General features: G+C 52.5%; 1 protein-coding gene across 25 annotated transcripts in view, besides 2 other annotated features; it reads left to right on the top strand.

Moving 5' to 3' along the window:
• Positions 1–22,085, top strand: part of PRDM15 (PR/SET domain 15) — an 81,120-nt gene that overhangs the window by 50,332 nt on the left and 8,703 nt on the right. For 17 of the 25 annotated variants that reach the window (NR_135464.2, NR_104260.1, XM_047440938.1 and 14 more), the window contains 10 exons: positions 680–847; positions 2,959–3,053; positions 5,564–5,695; positions 6,976–7,110; positions 7,783–7,946; positions 8,839–8,918; positions 9,312–9,431; positions 13,177–13,308; positions 18,177–18,260; positions 18,684–18,859. Coding sequence is in view for 20 of the 25 variants with exons in the window: in XM_047440938.1 (XP_047296894.1) it covers positions 680–847; positions 2,959–3,053; positions 5,564–5,695; positions 6,976–7,110; positions 7,783–7,946; positions 8,839–8,918; positions 9,312–9,431; positions 13,177–13,308; positions 18,177–18,260; positions 18,684–18,859 (1,286 nt within the window). In the remaining 5 variants the exon portion in view is untranslated. The remainder of the gene's footprint in view (positions 1–679; positions 848–2,958; positions 3,054–5,563; positions 5,696–6,975; positions 7,111–7,782; positions 7,947–8,838; positions 8,919–9,311; positions 9,432–13,176; positions 13,309–18,176; positions 18,261–18,683; positions 18,860–22,085) is intronic. The other 8 variants (XM_047440940.1, XM_047440939.1, XM_047440937.1 and 5 more) reach the window with 3 other exon arrangements.
• Positions 6,794–7,993: an enhancer, noted in NCBI's record as "CDK7 strongly-dependent group 2 enhancer chr21:43241376-43242575 (GRCh37/hg19 assembly coordinates)". NCBI's record gives its function as "activates an origin of replication core promoter dependent on BRD2, BRD4, P300/CBP, MED14 and CDK7 cofactors, with strong dependence on CDK7, by STARR-seq in HCT116 cells {active_cell/tissue: HCT116}" and the evidence as "EXISTENCE:reporter gene assay evidence [ECO:0000049][PMID:35650434]".
• Positions 12,108–12,157: an enhancer, noted in NCBI's record as "active region_18485". NCBI's record gives its function as "activates an Ori minimal core promoter by ATAC-STARR-seq in GM12878 lymphoblastoid cells {active_cell/tissue: GM12878}" and the evidence as "EXISTENCE:reporter gene assay evidence [ECO:0000049][PMID:35858748]".

Here is a 22,085-nt window from a genome sequence, read left to right as displayed (position 1 = left end):
GTGTGTGTGGTTGTGTATTTGTGTGGGGCATGTGTGCGTGGTGTGTGTATGTGGTGTGTGTGATTGTGTATTTGTGTGGGGGGTGTGTGTTGAGTGTGTTTGTATTTGTGTGGTGTGTGATTGTGTGTGTGCTGAGGAGGATTTGGGTGAAGGGGGGAATATGGGCACATTGATGCCCGCCCACGGGGAAGGAGTTGGGAGGGGCCAACACCAGGGATCCTGGGGGCAGGGGCGGCCACATTGGTCGGGTGGTCAGTTGCTCGGGTGGTTGGTTGGTTGGTTGGTAGGTAGGTCATTCTATCTGTCAGTCAGTCATGCTGGGTGGAGGGTGCAGGCCCAGGGGAAGCTTTGGACTGGGCAGCTTTCCTGACGGAAGTGGAGTCATCGTCCCCAGGTGCTGTGGGGCAGGGTGGCCCGGGAGGGAGGCGGCTGGCGTTGCTTGGTGATGAAAGGTGAGCTCCGTGTCTGCTTTTCAAGCACCGGGGTTCCCGTCTCTGCATCGTGAGTTCCTGGGGTAGACAGTGTATGACACACAGGTGCTGTTTTCTTCCTGGCCACGCATCCCCGTGACTCTCATGCCCGTCACCCGCGCTTTATTGACGTTCAGGCCACACGTGCGTGCCTGCGTGAGATGTTATTTACCTCAAAATCGTTGTGTGTTTGTTTGCTCTCTGGACAGATGACAAGACGTTCCAATGTGAGATGTGTTTCAGATTCTTCTCCACCAACAGCAACCTCTCCAAGCACAAGAAGAAGCACGGCGACAAGAAGTTTGCCTGTGAGGTCTGCAGCAAGATGTTCTACCGCAAGGACGTCATGCTGGACCACCAGCGCCGGCACCTGGAAGGTGAGGCCGCCTGCGCACCTGCTGCGGGCGGGGAGAGGCAGCTCCTGCGGGGTGGGGCAGGGCGGCATGGAGCAGTCAGCAGGGCCTTTGGGGAGCAGTTCGGTGCCGCCTGCTCCTTTGCCTGGAAACGCCCGCCATCCGATGGGCTCATCCTCTTCTGAGAACCTGTCTCAGGAGAGTAAGTTGCTGAGACACAGGTGTCAGACCTGCTGTGCGCAAGGAGAAACAGCTGGAAATACCCTAAATGTTCCACACTGGGGAAGGAGCTAAGAAAACTGGACGATTTGTGGGGTCCAGTGTTTCACTGTCATTAGAAGTGTTTTTTCAAAGATACTAGATATTGTGAAAAATGCTTTCAATATGACAGAAAGTGGGAAAAACCAGTATAAGAGCAACTAAGAGCAGCAGCCCTTCATACACCTTTTCATTAAAATTTGGAAAAAATTATTTTATAATTACAAATGAAGCATATGCTTGTTGAAAAGAAGATGTGAGACCACAAAGTCCTGTGTAAAGTAGAACCCTCCTGGGCATGGTGGCTCACGCCTGGAATCCCAGCACTTTGAGAGGCTGCAGCTGGAGGATCGCTTGAGGCCAGCAGTTCGGGACCAGCCCAGGCAACATAGCGAGGCTCTGCTTCTACAAAAAATTAGCTGGGCATGGTGGCACATACTTGTAGTGCCAGCTACTCAGGAGGCTGAGGCAGGAGGATTGCTTGAGGCTGGGAGGTCGAGGCTGCAGTGAGCTGTGCTTGCATCACTGCTTTCCAGAGCAAGACCCTATCTCAAAAAATATATACAAAAATAAAAAATGAAGTATAACCATGTCCGTCCAAATAGGCATACGCATGTGCCTTCGTCCCTTTTTTAAAAAAACAAGGCTGGAATTGCATCCTGTGTACCTTTTAGCACTTTCCTTTTTTGCTCAACTCTTTTCTTCATGTTGATTCATAAAGACCGACAACGTTTTTCTTTGTGGTTCCTTGGGTGGTATACTTAGGGCCTCTCGAATCAAACCTGGACTCCACTTAGTGACTGGGTAGCCTTAGCAAGCTACTGTGCCTCAGTTTTCTCACCTATGCAGGGGAGACAGTACTCAGACCTGAATCCCTAGCATTGCTGTGATGGTTGCACCAGACCCTGCTCTTGAAACTTCTCACACAGGACCCCGCACATGGCAAGCGCCCATAAATGCCAGTAACTGTGGATGCTGCCAGAAGTCAGCTGTTTCCAGGGACACAGTGTAGCTGGGTTGCATTTTACAGTTTAATGTAACTCGGGTCGTCTTCTGTGGGAGTAAACTCATGTTTTTGTGACTGTTTTATGGGTTTGTCCCTCATACTGGAGCTTAGTCTAAGCTGCGCCTCAGACTCCTGTGTCTGTCATGCTGGGAGCCTTTGGAGAACGGTCCGTTTGTCCAACGTCCAGTTTGCTGAGCATTTTTAAATCCAACTCTGCACTTACACCTGGCCAGGCAGGAATGCTCCCAGAATGGGTCGGCAGTGTAGAAAGAGATCCTGAGAAGTGGGTTTCTCTCTTTTGGTCAAAACTTACCTGTTTTGCATGAACATTTAAAAGTCTGTCTTGATCCCAATTTGGAACAATATGCCTCAAAACCATAAAGGTTGTATTTACCAGCCTGATGTTGATTTGACTAATGTTAATTTGCGAGAGATGAATATTAGTATCTTTTAAATAAAAAATGCCTGCCTATTTCACTATCTATAAGAATCATAACTTGGCTTTGAGCCTTTAGATGGAGTTAGAAGTGCCTTCTTCCATAGGAGCTCATCATAGCTCTGCCACCTAGGAACATTTAGCACTCGATGCCATTATATTTCCAAATGTTTCAGATGCGAGAACTGTCTCGGCAGATCCCACATACGTTGTGCCATCTCCCTTCCTTCCCTGGGGCTGCTTCAGGAATGGTGGTTAGTGCTGATGCCAAACAGTGTGCAAGTGATGTTACTTAAACTGCCACGCTTCTGTCCCCACTGTGGGCAGCCCTGTCCTCCCGTGCGCTGGAAAGGATGCTGGCTGAAGTGGAATCTGATGGACCTTCGCGTGTTCTATGTGTATTCACTGTCTTGCTGGTGGGGTTGGCAATTTCAGGAGTGCGGCGAGTGAAGCGAGAGGACCTGGAGGCCGGTGGGGAGAACCTGGTCCGTTACAAGAAGGAGCCTTCCGGGTGCCCGGTGTGTGGCAAGGTAATGCTCGCAGTCCACGTCGGACGCTGAGATGGAAAGCACATCATTTTCTTCAGTTAAGACTCTATGAGCTGTACTTATAGAATATTGCAGGGAAGATTTGGGGGGTAACGATGGGTGCTCAGGTTGTCTTAAACTGGTGTCCACCCATTTTAAACACTTGCCATTTGGATTTCTTTGGTACTTAAGATGGGTTTCCAGTGAGTGGGCTGAGAAAGAAGGATTCTTCCTGGACAGCCTCTTTTCCTCTTTGCCATGATTTTCCTCCTGAGCTGCTCCCTGGCTCCCACTCTCCTGTATAGCATCGTTGAGACAGTGACCTTGTGGTCAGGACTGGGGCACAATGAATGAGGACGCAGGGGGACCCAGTGGCTTTATTTTGCCTGTCAGTGCCGGTCTCCTCCGTGCAGTGGATGGCTGGCGTTCTGTAAGTTAGAGCATGGCCGATCCCATGGCAGGTGCTCCCAGGCACGTTCAGTGGATGCCCGGCGCTGCCCAAGAGAGGAAAGGGTGATGTCATCCATGGGAGCACATCCATCCGAGGGCTGCACGGTGAGGGGGCCATCCTGGCACTAGCTCAGGATTCAGACACCTGGCTGCTTGGCAGAGATGCTGGATCCTAAACATCCAGCAAACACGCTGCGCGTCCCGGGAGAGCCTGGGGTCCATGCCGTGGTCCTCACAGCTGTCAGGCTGCCATGGCCCCAAGTTCTGTGCAGAAGCACCTTGGTTGTGACTGGAGGTGGCATCACTTCTTCGTTACTTAGCTTTCACTCAGGTGACTGTAAGATGTCATCTGTCCTCGGAGGCCTAGGAACTGTCCCTCACAGGATGCAAAGCTCATGCTGCAGAGTAAGGGTTCTGAGCAGCTCCCAAGCGGGCTCTGGGCCCAGCAGCTCCAGCACGTCGCTCAAGTGGCTTTAGGAGCCGCCGAGGGGAGGGTGCCCCAGCCACACACAGCTCACGTGAGCCCCGGAGTGACGCTCATCCAGCGTTTCAGCAGCTGGGAGCACAGGCCCCCGCAGGAGGCCCGCTGTCACCGTCCCCGCCGTCCTGCCTTCCAGCATGCAGCACCATCACCGAGCTTTTGACCTTTTAAAGAGAAAATGGAAATCTCAGTGTTTATATGAAATTTCCTGATTTTTTTCAAACCACAGAGCAAGCCTGAGCAAATGAGTGAGCAGGGAGGTGTGGCTGGGGGTCCAGGTGAGGCTCCGGACTGTGGGCTGGAGGGGCAGGGCTGGGGTAGAGCAGGTGAGTTGGAGTGACTTTGCGAGCTGGGCCAGCTATGCACAGGGCAGAGGTGGGCGAAGCCTGTGCCCCTTATCCCCCGTCCCCAGTCTTTCTGTCCACTGACCTCTGCCCCTTGGGGGGTACCGGCTCCAAGTGCCTTCCATGCTGTTGAGAGATTGTTTGTGCAAACAATCTGTGCCTGACATCCAAACAGGTTTTTATTCTGTGCAGTGTTTATTGAATAAACACTGAGGGTTGAGGCAGGTGTGAAATAGCCTGTAGTTTGGGTGACTGAATTCTTTGTTGTTTCCAGTTATTAGTTGTCTTCAGCCCAGTCTTCCCTGTAAAGACCATGACATCTGCAGACTCTGTCCTCTCCTGCTCACCTTTCACCCTGTCGCATTGCCCCACCTAGCATCCCTGGGATGGGGCACAGCGCTGTCAGCCCAAGTCATCTGCACATCTTGGAAAGAGATGTCGCCTGGAGATGCCGGCATCCTCTCCCTAGCGAATCACTCATTTCTTTTCATTCATCTGTTCTCTTCTTGACAATGTGGGCATCAGGCGAACTTTAGGAGGTCACACCCCGGATTACGTGGCCGCTGGGAATAGCCATCCAGATAGAGACCCGCAGAGTTCTGTGGAGCGCTGGGGTTTCTAGGGCCCTAGCAGTGGTCTCAGCTTCCAGCCTTGTCCACTGCTCTGTGCCAGTGGGGCCACATCTGTCATGTGGACCACCCAGCGCCAACCCCAGCCCTGGTCACAGAGGTGACCCCCTTGGATGCGTATTGGATGAATGGGTGCATCTCCACACCCATCATGCCAGGCTGGAAAGAGCAGGAAATCAGAGACATTGGGAATGTGCATTAAACACAGTATAAAAGCCAAGGGGGTAACTAGCTTTCTTTTTTGATATCTCCTTTCAGAAAATTGCAGGTACTTCTGTGGTTTGCTGGTTCCTTGGTAGTCCATCCTAGGGAAATATTTAAATGGGCTTAAAAAAATGGAGCTGAACTAACATTTATAATAAAGACTAGGAAATGGTCAATTTTCTATTGTAACGTAAGCACCTGTTTACACAATTCAGCAAGTAACCCTTATTCCGGCATCAGTGATTATTTGTGTCTCTCACACACTGAGGAACTGGAGATGCAAGGCCTGGAGCACAGTGCTGTGTTTCCGTCCCGGGTTGTGGTTTCCCCAGAGGAGCCTGATGGAGAGGCTCCTTCCCGTCACGAGACGCCGCAGCCCCTCACCATGCGGCTCCTCTGCCACAGGTGTTCTCCTGCCGGAGCAATATGAACAAGCACCTGCTCACCCACGGCGACAAGAAGTACACCTGCGAGATCTGCGGGCGCAAGTTCTTCCGCGTGGATGTGCTCAGGGACCACATCCATGTCCACTTCAAGGTGTCGATCGCGTGCTGCCCTCACCCAGGCATGCTCACGGCAGGCCCCCAGGCCAGCGTCTGTCACAGTCAGCCATAGCAGAGTTCTGTGGGCAGGGCAGCTTCTGGGCAGACATGTGCTGCTCACGGTTCTGGAGGCTAGACCCCAAAGCCCCCATAGATTCGGTGTCTGGCGAGGCTCACTTCCTGGTTCGTAGACGGCGCCTTCTCACTGTGTCCTCACATGGTAGAAGGGTAGGGATCTCTTCTATAAGGGCCCAAATCCCATTCTTTTTTTTTTTTTTTTTTTGAGACGGAGTCTCGTTCTGTCGCCCAGGCTGGAGTACAATGGCAAGATCTTACTGCATCCTCCACCTCCTGGGTTCAAGTGATTCTCCCGCCTCAGCCTCCCAAGTAGCTGGAACTATAAGCATCCACCATAATGTCCAGCTAATTTTTGTATTTTTGGTAGAGACAGGGTTTCACCTTGTTGGCCCGGCTGGTCTTGAACTCCTGACCTCAAGTGATCCGCCTGCCTCAGCCTCCCAAAGTGCTGCGATTACAGGCGTGAGCCACCATGCCCCACCCCAAATCCCAATCTTGAGGGCTCCAGCCTCATGACCTAATGGCCTCCCAGAGGCCCTGCTTCCTGATACCATTTCCTGGTGAGTTAGGATTCAACATGGGAATTTGGGAGGGTTCAAGTATTCAGACCACAGCAGCGTCCTCAAATAGTTGACAACTGGTCGCATTTTATCTCTCCAAAATGAATTCTGTGACTGCATTGGCCTCACCTCCTGTGGCCCAACTGCCAGGCTTGAAGTACTGCTCTCCCACCGTGGCTGCTTCTCAGCCCGGTGCTGGCATCTGTGTCCCTCCCCACCTTTGAGGAAAGAGAGGAACGGAGCAGAAGCCCCGGGAGCAGGGAGGACTTGGGGTGTGATAAAGGCTGGGAGAAGCGCTGATCAAGAACTGAAAAAGTAACAGGTGGTATGGGAGACTCACTAGGGGGACTTCCCAGCAGTGCCTGGCCCTGGGCACAGATTGGGATCTTGCTGGGCGCATGTGAGAGGAAGCCGCGGGCGGCGTGGAGAGCAAGGGCAGCTTTAGCGTTTAGGTGGGGACCTCTGGGGACAAGCTGGGATGGGCTAGGGCACAAGTGTAGCTCGTTAGGGCGCCACGGGCATCAGAGAGGCATTTTCTTCTGCATCTGGGGAAATGATTGGTCGTCCCTGCGGTGTAGATAACTGAGTGAAGCGTCTGCTGCGCTGTTAGAAACCGGAAGTGGTGGCTGTTTTCCAGGACATCGCGTTGATGGATGACCACCAGAGGGAAGAGTTTATCGGCAAGATCGGGATCTCCTCGGAAGAAAACGATGACAATTCTGACGAGAGCGCAGACTCGGAGCCTCACAAGTACAGCTGCAAGCGGTGCCAGGTATGGCGGGTTTGCCCCGCGGTGCCTGGGTGGTCTGGAGAGGAAGGTGGTCGTTTCAAGGCTGTGGGCCCCACACAGCAGGCACCTTCATGCATCTCGGAAGCAGCCCTCCCTCCCCAAAGGCTCCGGCCAGTGGTCCTACTGCAGACTGGGTGCCTGTCCATCACTTGTGCCTGGGAAGGCCAGCCTGTGTCACCTTGGTGCTCAGGGACGGTCTGTGTGGGTCTCACAGGCGCCCTCCAGGAACTTGCCTTGTGACACGGTTCAGGAACACACATGAAGTGTGGGGGTCGGCCTCCTAGAAGGTGGCTGTGCTGGCTGCAGGCTGGGGCGCCTCTCTCCTCCCCTTTTCCCCTCCCCTTCTCTCCTCCCCCTCCTCCTCCCTGCTGAGGCCTGAAGCCCTCACGAGGCCTCCCCTGTGCATGGAAGGGGCTCTCCAAAAAGGAGGGTGGTTTGTTTCCGAGGACACCCGTGCTCTTGAGTTTTGGGCATGAGGCCTTATGGCTTCGGAAAAGTTCCCCATCAAGCCTCTGAGAGTCCCTTCCACCCTGGCATGAGTCATGGGCTCTCAGGGCGTGTCGGGTGCCCTGGTTTGTGGACACGACCTCATTAGCTAAGAGGACCAGGGACCTCATGCGGGTGTCAGCAGTGCCCTGTCCACCTGGCCCGCAGCTCACCTTCGGCCGGGGGAAGGAGTACCTGAAGCACATCATGGAGGTGCACAAGGAGAAGGGCTATGGCTGCAGCATCTGCAACCGGCGCTTTGCACTGAAGGCCACCTACCACGCCCACATGGTCATCCACCGTGAAAACCTGCCGGACCCCAACGTGCAGAAGTGAGGCCTGGTCGGGGGCTCCCGGGTTGTGTCAGGAGAGAGGGGACATGCTTCCTTGCAAAGAGACACATGCTATAAGGAGCCATTTGTAGCTTCCAACAAGTGATGTCCTCTGGGTCTCAGGGCCAGAGCTGGGGGCGCAGCAGGGCTCGGGGGCAGCTGGGCTAGGGGCAGCAGGGCTGGGGTTTATCCTGTGCTTCCGCATAGTCTCCTGGCACCAGCTGGCCATGTTACAGGAAAATAGCGGGGTTCCTGCCCTGCCTACAGAATGACCCAAAATGCTTTTTCCTGCAACAATTAGATTTCATTAATGCCAGGCCACATCTGACATACAGGCCATAATCTGCGCGGTCTGCTGAGTGAGTGACTAAACAGTCCCGTGCAGGGGCGCTAACAAAGAACCACAGCCGGCACAGCCTAAACAACAGACACTTACCATCTTCAGTCCTGGAGGCGGGAGCTCAGGGGTCACGGTGGCGGCAGGGCCGCCTCCTCTGACACTTCTCTCCTTGGCCCTTAAATGCCGTCTTCTCCCTGTGTCCTCATAGGGCCGTTCCACTGTGCGTGTCTGTGCCCAATCTCATCTTCTTATAAGGACACTGGTCAGATTGGTCAGGGACCACCCTGATGGCCTCTTTTCCATGTAATCACCTCTGCAAAGACCCCATCTCCAAACATAGTCACATTGTGAAGTGCCGGGGTTAAGACTTCGATGTAGGAATTCGGGGGGTTACGATTGAGCCCGTGGCAGAGGCTCAAATATCTGCTTCTTTTATCATCCCCGTGGCACCTTGTTGCCTCACCTTTGCAGATGAAGGTGCTGGGGAAAGTGCCCTCGCTGCCGTGGAGCCCCGAGGCTGTGCGGCCATCCTGAGCTTGTCTCTGGTTTCAGGTACATCCACCCCTGCGAGATCTGCGGGCGGATCTTCAACAGCATCGGGAACCTGGAGCGCCACAAGCTCATCCACACAGGTGCGTGTCTGTCAGCATTTGGGGTCCCGGCCCTCGCTGGAGGGGGCTGGCAGGGAGGGATGCTGGGGGTCTCCGCGTATTCTACACACAGAGCCGTCGCACCTTGCCTCCCCCATGCCTTCCTCTGTTTCTCCAGCTTTTCCCGTCCTTATCAGCCCTGCCACTCACAGCCCAGCGCCCCCAGCCCCCTCACCCCTCCAGGTCCTCAGGGATCTACTGGAGTCACAGGATCCCCGGGAGGGCTCTGTGGAGGCCGCTGAAGAGGCGACCCCACCCCTGTTACTGCGCTTCTAGCTGCTGGGGAGGCTGGGCCCCTCTCCTTGGTGCATCCTCTTTGCAGCCACTGCAGGTCGGAGCTGCTCGGCTCTGAGTGGCAGATGCCTGTGTTCTCAGGTGTGAAGAGCCACGCCTGCGAGCAGTGTGGGAAGTCCTTTGCCAGGAAGGACATGCTGAAGGAGCACATGCGTGTGCACGACAATGTCCGCGAGTACCTGTGTGCCGAGTGTGGGAAAGGTGGGTACGGGTGCTGGGGACATGGGCCAGGCTCAGCCAGGCCACCCTGCTGCAGGGTGCTGGAAGGGGACATGAGCGAGAACTGGGAGTGTGGGGAAGGTGGGTGTGGCGGGGGCGGGGGCCGGGGCCACGGGCCGAGTGTGGGAAAGGTGGGTACAGGCGCCAGGGCCACGGGCCAGGCTCAGCCAGGCCGCTCAGCTGCTGCAGGGCGCTGGGAGGGGATGTGAGCGAGAACTGGGAGTGTGGGAAAGGTGGGTGTGGGTGCTGGGGGCCACGGGCCAGGCTCAGCCAGGCCGCCCAGCTGCAGGGCTCTGGAAGGGGATGTGACCAAGGTATCTACCATAGTGCGAGAGGCATTGCCAGAGTGTGGCCCTGGAAGCCCATAGGCTTCAGTCGCTTACTTAAGGAAAGAAGGACTCGAGGCAGCATTTAAATCAGGAATCTGCAAGAAAAATCAAGTAGTCCAGAAAGCAGAAAGATGTGATAAATTTAAAGGCACAAACAAATCGTTTTAAAAGTAGGAAAATAATGCAGGATCTAATTGTTTAAAGTATAGAATGATTCCCAAAGCCACCACGGGGTCTGACAGTAGATGCAAAACCCTCAGCGTATTCACTACGCAGACTAGAATCGGCTGCGTGGTGAGAGAGAAACTCACCACGGCCGAGGAATCTTCATTGTAACGACAGAACATTCATTAATAACAAACCTAGTAATAAGATGTCTCAACTTAGTAAGCAAAATACAAAGATAATTCCAGTACACATCATAATTTTAACCCATTCCTGTTTTTATTTTTTTTTTAAAACAACTTCCTAAAAGTTTTGGAGCAGCAGGTTTGTCTTGGGCTGTTTCAAGCGACCCTGCTCATGCTGTCCCGGTGACAGTGTGTTGGAAACACAGGAGCTGCATGAACTGCACTCGCCGGGTGACCCCTATGAGCACCCGTAGAATAACGCTGCGTGTCAAAGCCTAAAAGAACTGCCTGCAGAAAAGGCCAGAAAGGGGGTCTTTCCTTTCCCCACTTCCTGGCCCTCTGTTCCTCACCTCAGAGGCCAGCACAGGCTCTTGCCCCTCCTCCAGGGTAACTTTGCGCAAGGACGGCACATGGGTGGTTATTAAAAAAGCAGCGCATGCACCTCGCCAAGACATATTTTTTAAACAATACAAACAGGTCTGGAAGGTGGCATAGTTACTCTCCCCTCAAACCCCAGCCGGTCCTCGCAGAGCCACTGCGGTGGTTTCTCTGAACGGAATGTCAGTAGCAATGTCTGCCTGCCTTAGCGGGACAGGTGGTTTCTCTGAACAGAATGTCGGTAGCAGTGTCTGCCTGCCTTAGCGGGACAGGCTGGCTTGCTCTTTATCCGCGTCTGCCTTAAGCTCCCAGCCCCTTTCACCACCTGCTCCTCCCCTTTCCTCCCCAATGCCCCCAAGAAGTAAAATGTTTAAGACAGTGTGGTGAGCCTGGCTGGAGGGGTCCTGAGTAGCGCGTAGAGACAGGAGGGGCAGGGGTGGGGGCTTATTCAGGGCCGGGCCTCTTAGGCAGGCAGAGAGGAGCCACACCTGGGTCCCCTGCAGGTCCCCAAATGCCACCAGATGCCCTGGGAGGCAAGGGGTGTGGGGTAAAGCCACATTTTATAATGTTGTAGACATTTTAGTGTTTGAAATGTATTAATTATTTAGTTGCATCGTTTTTTAAAATGAATTCTGAATAGCTGAAATAAAATGCTGGCATTAATACATCAGTTGCCAGATTTATTTTACAGAATACCAAATTCCAGTATTGTCATCGTGCTATCACGCAACAGTTGCTAGTACATACCAGCGCATGCTTGTGCTCATTTGTTTTTTTGATACTTTGCTATTTTTTTTTTACTTGAAAATACGTCTTGGAGATCTTTTTATATCGGAACATGTAAATATTGCCTGGTTTTATCTTTCAAGCCCTTCGTACGATTCATATAACCAGACCCTTTATTTTATAAAGTTTCTGGTTGTTTTGTTATAGTCATTTATTATTACAGTGTTGCAAGAAACACTGTTGCATATTATTACTTTACATTTTTTTCCAGAAATTCTAGCCCTGACCAGGGAATTAGTCAGTGTCAGGGACCAAGTGGGAGGCTGTTAGTAGTCGTGAGAGCCTGTCACCAGCAGGTGGAGGCAGGGGCCCAGCCAGTAGGTTTTCTGTGTGTGTGGAGGAAAACGTCTTGTTCAGAATCACATCATGGGCCTTGAACTACTCAGGAATGATCTACAAGAACTTACTGTGGCCAGTAAGAATATGACACCAGGTATTGAAAGCTATAAAAAAGGCATCCCCTGTTCGGGATTAGAAATTATAAGTATTTAAAAAACATCAGTTTTCCCCACGGTAATTTGTAAATGGATTGACTCACAATCCCAGTAGAGCAAGCTTTAAAATTTCCTCTGTCTGGCAGTTGTGTTTATTTTGAAACTGTTGGCAGATTTTCTTTGTTAAATGGAAGAAAAAACATTACTGTCACCAATGCTGGCTGTGGTGGGGAGGTCAGAATGTGGAGATGCCATCTCTTCTGTATTTTCTGGGTTTTCTGTGACTGTGTATTAGTTTTGAAATTTGGAATATGTTCATTTTAGAAGCAGGAAGAGGGAAGTGCTGGGGTCTGGGCGTGTCAGCAGTGACCGGCACTCTTTTTTTTTTTTTTAATCAAAAGGATTGACAGTAACTTTTTCAGGTGGAATCACTCTTCGGTCATTGGTAATAGGCCTGCAGGTGCCGTCCCCACCCGAGGCCAGGAGTTGTGCAGCTGTGTGTGCAGGCAGCGGGCTTCATCGTGGGGCCTTTGCTCCCCCTGCTGGCCCAGCCGCGCAGTTTTCTCGTAGCCAGGGAGGTCTTCTGGCCCGGCCTTTAGAATTCTGGCAGGAGCTGGTGGATGGTCACCCCTGCATCTGGTGAGGGTGGAATCACAGGGGAACCGTTGACCAGCTTACTACAGAGCTGTGTTCAGGCTCAGTAGTTCTTCCCCAAATGTGGAGGGAACACGGTGGCCTGGGAGTGCAGGCTGCCCACCGCCCTGGGCAGGCACAGTGAAGGCGCCTCTTCGGGGCTGGGGAGGCTGCCTTTGGGCTGGGTCGCCCTGTTCCCTGGTGCGTGTCAGCCTCACGGTCAGGTGTACCAAGCCGCACATGCCTGTGCCCCCTGCGGAGGGCCTTGTACAGTGCTGTCCCTGCCAGCGCACCACAACCTCTGACTCAGCCCCTATGCCAGGGCCACCCTCTCTCCACTGGCTGTGTGAGTGAGGCTTTGGAGTATTTCAGCTTCTTAAGATTGGCTTCTTAAATTACAGGTAGATTGAAACCATCTCGCGTCCGAATCCCAATCACCACTCATATTGTCAAGGTTGAAGGGAACCTTTAGTCATGCTTGTATTAATCTATCTCTCACCGAATTCTCCCGCCGGGTTGCCATGGGCACGCAGGGAAGTTTACCCACCGCCCCGGCGTTGCTCGCGTGGTCAGGGCTCGGCCAGGCCCTGGCAGGAGTGAGTGAACCTGATGTTGCAGTCAGTCCCTCCCGGCCTCTGGGCACAGTCACTTCCCAGGTCTCACCGCTGGTGGACTGACCGGGATCCTCGGGGGCCGGCCCACACCCTCACCAGTACCGCACGGGCCGCTGCCTGTGCCTGCCCCAGGGTCTCGGGCATGGGCCCCCAGGTGGGCTGCGTGGGGGTGTGGCCGCCTCTGACTCGCTGTGTCCTTGAAGGCATGAAGACCAAGCACGCGCTGCGCCACCACATGAAGCTGCACAAGGGCATCAAGGAGTACGAGTGCAAGGAGTGCCACCGCAGGTTCGCGCAGAAGGTCAACATGCTCAAGCACTGCAAGCGGCACACGGGTGAGTCCGAGGCCCGGGCCGCGCCAGCCACGGCGCTCACTGTGTAGGGAAGCCAGGTGGGCCGTGGGAGAAGAGAGAGCCGCCTTGAGACGATTCCTCTTTGTGATTCCCACTGAGTGCCGGGTTCCCCAAGAGAGCTTCCTGGGGCCGGGGTGAGCAGCTGCATATCTCAAAAGGTCCCCCTCCCACAGGGGCCTCGTCACCGGAGAGCATGCTGCACAGCTCACTTCCGGCATTGGGAGACTGGTCAGTCTTTAAATGTTCCTCCCGTTCAGCTGTTTCCCCCTCAGGAATGTGCACAAGAAATAGCGACCAGACAAGGGCCAGGGATGTGCATGCAAGGTTGCTTGTCATCTTTTGAGTTAGGGAAGGCGCTGGAAGGTCAGACGTGGCCTCGGTAGGGCACTGGCTAAGCCATGGTGAATCCAGAAAAGAGCAAGGTGTCCGCTCGGGTGATGTGTGTACTACGCTGATGTGCATAGAAAGGAGTCGGTGACGCGACAGGTCAAAGAGCAGCCTGTGCCATCTCTAACACAAGGCCAAGATCTTAGAAAACACTAGAGCAGCCTGCGCCATCTCTAACACAAGACATTCTTATAAAACACTACAGCAGCCTGCGCCATCTCTAACACAAGGCCAAGATCTTAGAAAACACTAGAGCACCCTGCGCAATCACTAACACGAGGCATTCTCATAAAACACTAGAGCACCCTGCGCAATCACTAACACAAGTCGTTCTCATAAAACACTAGAGCACCCTGCGCAATCACTAACACAAGGCCAAGATCTTATAAAACACTAGAGCACCCTGCGCAATCACTAACACAAGGCATTCTCATAAAACACTAGAGCACCGTGCGCAATCACTAACACACAGCCATTCTCATAAAACACTAGAGCACGCTGCGCAATCACTAACATGAGGCATTCTCATAAAACACTAGAGCACCCTGCGCAATCACTAACACAAGTCGTTCTCATAAAACACTAGAGCACCCTGCGCAATCACTAACACAAGGCATTCTCATAAAACACTAGAGCACCCTGCGCAATCACTAACACAAGGCATTCTCATAAAACACTAGAGCACCCTGCGCAATCAGTAACACGAGGCATTCTCATAAAACACTAGAGCACGCTGCGCAATCACTAACACAAGTCGTTCTCATAAAACACTAGAGCACCCTGCGCAATCACTAACACGAGGCATTCTCATAACACACTAGAGCACCCTGCGCAATCACTAACACAAGTCGTTCTCATAAAACACTAGAGCACCCTGTGCAATCACTAACACAAGGCATTCTCAAAACACTAGAGCACCCTGCGCAATCACTAACACGAGGCATTCTCATAACACACTAGAGCACCCTGCGCAATCACTAACACGAGGCATTCTCATAAAACACTAGAGCACCCTGCGCAATCAGTAACACGAGGCATTCTCATAAAACACTAGGGCACCCTGCGCAATCACTAACACGAGGCATTCTCATAAAACACTAGAGCACCCTGCGCAATCACTAACACGAGGCATTCTCATAAAACACTAGAGCACCCTGCGCAATCACTAACACGAGGCATTCTCATAACACACTAGAGCACCCTGCGCAATCACTAACACGAGGCATTCTCATAACACACTAGAGCACCCTGCGCAATCACTAACACGAGGCATTCTCATAAAACACTAGAGCACCCTGCGCAATCACTAACACAAGTCGTTCTCATAAAACACTAGAGCACCCTGCGCAATCACTAACACGAGGCCAAGATCTTATAAAACACTAGAGCACCCTGCACAATCACTAACACAAGGCATTCTCATAAAACACTAGAGCACCCTGCACAATCACTAACACAAGGCGTTCTCATAAAACTCTAGAGCAGCCTGCGCAATCACTAACACAAGGCCAAGATCTTAGAAAACACTAGAGCACCCTGCGCAATCACTAACACAAAGCATTGTTATAAAACACTAAAGCACCCTGCGCAATGCCAATACAAGGCCATTCTCATAAAACCCTTCTGTATGGGCGAGTGTTTTTGTGCTTGTGGAGAGAAAATTGAGACATCAGAATTGAGAGGTTGTCCCTGAGTGGTGGAGTTGTGTCTCAGCGTGAAGTTCCCTGGCGTGAGCCTGTTCAGTGCCCCCTGGGGGCCCCTCAACTGCACGTTGGGTCCTGCCTTTATCCAGCCCACGTCACCTGCCTACCTTCCTCCCCTGCTCCCCAGAGTGGCGCGGGTTGCCACACGGGTCTGCTTTGGGTTGGCCGGGCGTGCCAGCCTCCTCTGCCCCTGGACTGCAGAAGTGTACTGTCCATCTCTTTCCTGGGGAATCTCTGTCCAGTATATGCTTTACCATTTTTGGGATACTCTTGCTCCCCAAGACTGGGCCACATGCCCTCATCTGGGTTCTCAGAACACCCCACACTCTGCCTGCCGCCCACCAACTCGCTGGGCTGTGGTGGCCTCTGTCCCATGCTCCACAGTGAGCCCTCAGGACTGAGTTAAGTGCCTTTAAAAATTACTTGTCTTGTTCCCATTTTGAGGGGCAACCTTTGTTTAAAGGGCATTCATAGGGTCCACCTCCCCATCAGTTTTTGGGGTGAAACAGACCGTGGACTCTATTCTTGCTTGCCCCTGACCCCCCAGAGCCCCCCAGACGTGAGCTGATGTGAGCACTTGCACCAGGAGGAAGCTGGTCCCCCTTTGGCCTCCTCCCTGTCTCCCTCTCTGTGGACCACATACATAATTACGTGCCACACGTTTCCCTTCGCTCCGGGGAACACGGGTCCTGTGCCGCCTGGTGGGGCGCTGACAGCCGTCAGAGCAAGGTGTCTGGGCTGGTGAAACAAACACACTCCCCAGTTCTCCCCTGGCGATCATCCCCCACAGTGGCCGTTCCCTAGGGCAGTGGCTGTTCCCAAGGCGGTGGCCGTTCCTCAGGGCAGTGGCCCACAGCTTGTCTTATTTCTCTAAGCATTTTGGGGTCCTTTAGCTTCTGAGGAATGTCCTCTCAACTTTCCTCACGTGGCCGTCTGTTGGGGATGCTTGCTCTTGGATGTCCTGAATCATCTGAGAGGCTTTGTCTAAAGACCAGGCTTGGGTTTTCTTTCCCAGACTCTCTCAATCAGAGTCGCTAAGGGCCGGCCTTTTCGTCTTCACCCTCTCAAGTTCCACAGACTGTCCTGGGAGATTCAGCCTCCTCATACATAAAATAACAGATTTTAACAGGATTATCTGTACGCCTCCCCCCGGGCTCTAATTAAACCTGTTTCCACCACAAGGCCACCTACCGTGCACCTCCTGATCCTGGGAATGTCACGATGATGGCTATGCTGGTTCTTTTTCCCTAGTAATCAGGGAACTGGTTATTTTGTTCATGCACTTTGTGGAAATTTGTTGAGCCCGCACTCACTTACAATTTGTGTTTTTCTGTCTATGAGTTTGATGTCAATCAAAAGTGTCCTTAAAATAAGCAACAAAACAGTGACACTTCCTGGTCTTGTCCCTGGACCTGGGGAGGGACCCTCCCTACTCTGGGAGGCTCTGGGGGGTTAAGGCCCCTCCCTTGGAAGGTGGAGTCTTAGAATCCGTGGGCACGAGTGGCCGTGCGGGAGCAATTGCCACCTCTGGTGTTGGTCTATTAAAGCATCCGCTTCTGGCTCCCGTGAGGCCAATCCATGAGCCAGGACTGACTGAGTACTTATCAAATATTTTAAAAAGTCAAGGCCGGTCGCAGTGGCTCACGCTTGTAATCCCAGCACTTTGGGAGGCCGAGGCGGGCGGATCACGAGGTCAGGAGATCGAGACCACGGTGAAAGCCCGTCTCTACTAAAAATACAAAAAATTAGCTGGGCGTGGTGGCGGGTGCCTGTAGTCCCAGCTACTCAGAGAGGCTGAGGCAGGAGAATGGCCTGAACCCGGGAAGCGGAGCTTGCAGTGAGCCGAGATCGCGCCGCTGCACTCCAACCTGGGCAACAGAGTGAGACGCTGTCTCAAAAAAAAAAAAAAAAAAAAAGTCAGGTAAGCTCTAATTTACCTTTCTGTTGTTAGAGATGGGGTCTCTCTGTTGCTCATGCTGGAGTGCAGTGATGTGATCACAGCTCATTGCGGCCTTGAAGTCCTGGGCTCAAGTGATCCTCCCACCTCAGCTTCTCGAGTAGCTGGGACTACAGGCACACACCATCATGCCCGGCTGGTTATTTTATTTTATTTTATTTTATTTTATTTTTGTAGAGACAGGGTCTCGCCATGTTGCCCAGGCTGGTCTTGAACTCCTGGACTCGAGCGATCTTCCTTCGGCCTCCCAAAGTGCTGGGATCACAGGCATGAGCCACCGTGCCTGGCATCAGCTCTCATTTGAATTAGTCAAGTTTTGAAGAATCACACTCATTTTGTCCGAGCACGGCAGTTCTGTTGTCTTTTACGCTTGGCTCGTCTGTGTCCTCCTTGCCATTGGTCCTGATTTCAGTTACCATTTCCTCTCTCATTGTAATATCACATGTGCTGCCTAAGAGCTTCCTGGACTAAGGGAGGTGTGGATACATTAATGCTTTAAAGAAATTCCTATCGTTTTTCTGCTTGTCCACATGTGGGTTCCACTTTCTGTCTGTGTTTTCAGACAGCCTTTCCCACATCTCATGTTTTTTTGATATGAAATGTCACTATGGAAGCATAAACTTTCCAAGCCACACTTTGCTGGCCGAGGCTGGGGATGAGCGTTCATTGTCTGCTGTCTTCTTGCAATTCACCTTCTCCTGAAGGCCCTACAGTGCCTGGAACGTGTCAGGGAGAAGACATGCCCTGATGTGGACTTACAACACTCATTAAACGTAGGAAGTTATGTGCGCCTTTCTCTGCAGGGATTAAAGATTTCATGTGTGAATTGTGTGGGAAGACATTCAGCGAGAGGAACACCATGGAGACCCACAAGCTCATCCACACAGGTGAGCGGCGCAGCCTGAAGGAGCCTTCGGGGCGCACGCGGCAGGCTGCCGGGGCTGTCTGAGTGCCTGCTGGGGTGGAAACGACTATTCTATTATCTAGACGGTTCCAGCACATTTAGTGTTGTCTTGGCTTCATGGTGGCCCCTTGGCCTCTGAAGGTCAACCCGCCACAGCTTTCAAGTATCCCTTCTTGAATTTTCTCATATTGGTTCCGTGATGCAGCTGCTGCTGGCAGTGCTCCCCAAGGGACAGAGGCTCTGTGCTCATGTGTGCTCGGGGACCAGCACCGGCCCTCTCAGGATGGGCGGGGCGTGACAGGCTTCTTGCCTCGTCCAGCAGGCCAGGGTCATTGGGATGGCTGCACTAGTGACCTGCGTGTCTCTTCCTTTCCACGCGCATGTGTGTCTGCGTGTGTGTGAAAAGTGGGCAAGCAGTGGACGTGCTCCGTGTGCGACAAGAAGTACGTGACCGAGTACATGCTGCAGAAGCACGTTCAGCTCACACACGACAAGGTGGAGGCGCAGAGCTGCCAGCTGTGCGGGACCAAGGTGTCCACCAGGGCCTCCATGAGCCGACACATGCGGCGCAAGCACCCCGAGGTGAGCTGGTGGCTGTGCCCCCTCCGTGCCCCGCCAGCGGGCCGCGCACCGGACACCCCCATGCTGGCACATGGCCCACCTCCCTCTGCAGACCCCCAGTACTGGAGGCAGGCCCTGAGTCTTAGGTGCGTCTGTGACTGGCACTGCCTGCCACACAGGAGGCACTGAGTGAGTGGCTGCGAGAGGTTAGGAGAGCCTCAGGCGGACCTTTGCTAAGGTTATAAATTACGTCCTCCCTGAAATTATGGCAAGATGGAAGCACAGCCCTGCCACTCCCCCCATTCTTCCCACTCATGGAACTAATGTGCAAAATGGGGGCTCCACGTGGTGTTGGGGCCAAGTAAAGTATGACACCGAGGATGGGGAGGGGGAAGTTGTACAGACGCAGGCAGAGCCCAACTGCTCTGAAAGCCTGCTCCACAGGAAGGGCCAGGATGTTCCGTAATTAAATGTGCTTTAAGAAGGAGCACCCTGAAAGACAAAACCAGAGGAAAACTTAGTTGTCAGGTCACAGAAAAGAGTAGACTCTCTAAGCGTAAAAGCAGCAAAAGGAGTTGTGAACACAGGTTTGACTCCATAAGCACTCAGAACAAATACAGGCCAAAGGAAAAATGAAAAATCTGGGCCGGGCACGGTGGCTCATGCTTGTAATCCCAGCACTTTGGGAGGCAGAGGCGAGTGGATCACGAGGTTAAGAGTTTGAGACCAGCCTGGCCAACATGGTGAAACCCCGTCTCTACTAAAAATATAAAAATTAGCTGGGCATGGTGGTGGGCGCCTGTAGTCCCAGCTACTCGGGAGGCTGAGGCAGCAGAATCGCTTGAACCCAGGCGGCGGAGGTTGCAGTGAGCCGAGATTGCGCCACTGCACTCCAGCCTGGGTGACAGAACGAGATTCCATCTCAAAAAAAAAAAAAAAAGAAAAAATTTGCATAGGCCATGGCTGTGTTAGACAGATAGAGCCTGTTAACATTAGTGATAACAAGCACTCACTGAGAAACACGCGAAGCGCACTCAGGGTGTACACGGAGAGGGAGCTCATGCGGGAAGAACAGCCGTGGTGAAAAACACACGGAAAGGCGTTCAGCTCACCGCGCATCCCAGAAAAGCAAACGGTAGCGGCGGAGGATGGCATCCTTCGCCTCTTGCGGGGGCGGGGGGTTTTAGATTCAGAGTGACCACACTGGCCGGCTGGCACGAGTTGCCGCTCTCACCGTTGGATGTTTTTCTTGAAGGCAGCATCACAGCATTTCTCGAGTGTTTAATAAATGGTTATTCCAACCCCTATTCCAACCCTACAATAAGAACGTGATTCAATTAGTGATAGTTTAGCAGTGTGTTTGCCTGACACACATGCTTACACGGATCTGAAATTGTGAAATGCTCATTACGTACGTGAAAGAGCAGTATACGTTGTGCACATATATAATGTGTGTATACACAATACACGTCACATACATTGTGTGTATATATAATACTCACTTATATAAATGAGGTAGGTAAAGAAGGGAGCAAAACATCCCACAGTGATTTCTCTCTTGTTCTTGAAGTGATGGGTAATTTCTTGTCTTCACATTTTTCTCCATTTTCCAATGTCCTGTAATGAAAGTGACTTCCTTTTGGAATTGGGAAAGCACCGTCTGCCTCAGGTGTCAGTCTGGTGGCTCCCTAGTTTGGGGGTGACCCGGGACGTCGCCGTGTTGCTGTTCCTCTGCAGCCCGATCAGGCTCCCAGGGAGATGCAGGGACTCAACCTGCTCTCCAGTCCGGGAAGCCAGGGGACCGTGGCTGCATACTCTGCCCTGTGCCCCACTCAGCGGGGAGCTTGGATCCCTCTAACTGAGCTCCATTGCCTCCCTTCTCATGTAGTGGCCAGCTGGTGTTTTTACCTAGAAAACAGAGTCGGGGGAGTAGGAACCCGAAGCGCCAGGACCACCTTGGCACCCCAGGGGCAGGGCAGGCCCTGCAGCCCACCCAGCAGCCCGTGAGCAAGGCTGGCGTTTGAGCGGTTCCTCTCCATGACGTGTGGGTTTCTAGACTTCCGCGTATTGATAAAGACGGTGCACATCACTTTTGTACACCGGAGTTTTGATATACATAGCTGGGTGGAGAGGCCTTACTGATAAAGACATCTCCCACAAACACTGTCAGGCAGAGTCCTCTCACCAGGATTAAACCACTTCCTAAGGTGGCCCAACTGCAAGTTCGCCTTCTGTGCTCTGCTCCTTCAACTGGGCTGTGTGTTGCCCATCCCCACTCCCCTCAAGCCCAACCCGGACAGAACCAAGTGACTCAAGAGGAAAGCCTTCCAGACCCAGGGAAGGTGGTGCGGGGGGATTTTGTCCGTCTTTGTTCTCGAACCAATTTGTTTCTCCAGCCTTTTATCCTGTGCTCTCTTTGTGTCATTCCTTTTGATCATCTCACAGTTGTTTCCCTCTACATTAACTCAAACAAATGCCTACCAGTGATGTGATGGGCCGGCCAGCCAGGGTCCATCCCTGCCCTCCTGGACTTTACGGTCTGGGTAGGAGACAGAAAAATAAGAAGTAGACAGAGGCAAAGTGATTACAAACTAGAATAGAGGATATGGAAGAGATGACCCTAGACAGCAGTGTGAGGGGAAGGAAGGGGACTCGGGTCAGCTTTGTGTAGCTGTGTGTGTACCGCAGTGAGGCCTGGCTGTCTGAGAGTGGGATAACGGTCCCCCGAGCCTGTCCCCGTTGGTGATGCCACAGATTCAGGAGGAAGAAGGTGTTCGTTGGAGTCACACTAATTTAACTAGTTAAGTTAAACTAGTTATAGTTTAACTGTTGGACTAGTTAAACAGGCATAAACTACTTACAGAGATTCAGAATCTTTTAGGATTGATACTATTTTATGACTCCAAGCTATGGTTTTTCTCTTTACTTTGAATGAATGTTACATTAAAAACAAAACACAGAAAGCAATTTTCACTTTTTTCTTATATCCTAAGAAGAGTGAAGCTAATGCTTCTATGGTGGTTCTTTGATGGCGTCAGCTTTCAGACTGTGTGACTAGGATACTGATGATATTGATGTGATGGTGGTGGAGGTAGTGGTGGAGATGGTGGTAAAGGTGATGGTGGTGATGGGGGACCTGGTGTTGGTGATGGTGGTGTTGGTGATGGTGGTGGTAGAGGTGATGGGGGAGGTGGTGGTGTTGATGGTGGTGATGATGGTGGTGGAGATGGTGGTGGTGATGGTGATA

The sequence above is a fragment of the Homo sapiens genome, chromosome 21, assembly GCF_000001405.40.
Source record: "Homo sapiens chromosome 21, GRCh38.p14 Primary Assembly".
Classification (NCBI taxonomy): domain Eukaryota; kingdom Metazoa; phylum Chordata; class Mammalia; order Primates; family Hominidae; genus Homo; species Homo sapiens.
The sequence above is the reverse complement of the archived record's forward strand: the minus strand, read 5'-3'. Positions and strand labels throughout refer to the sequence as shown.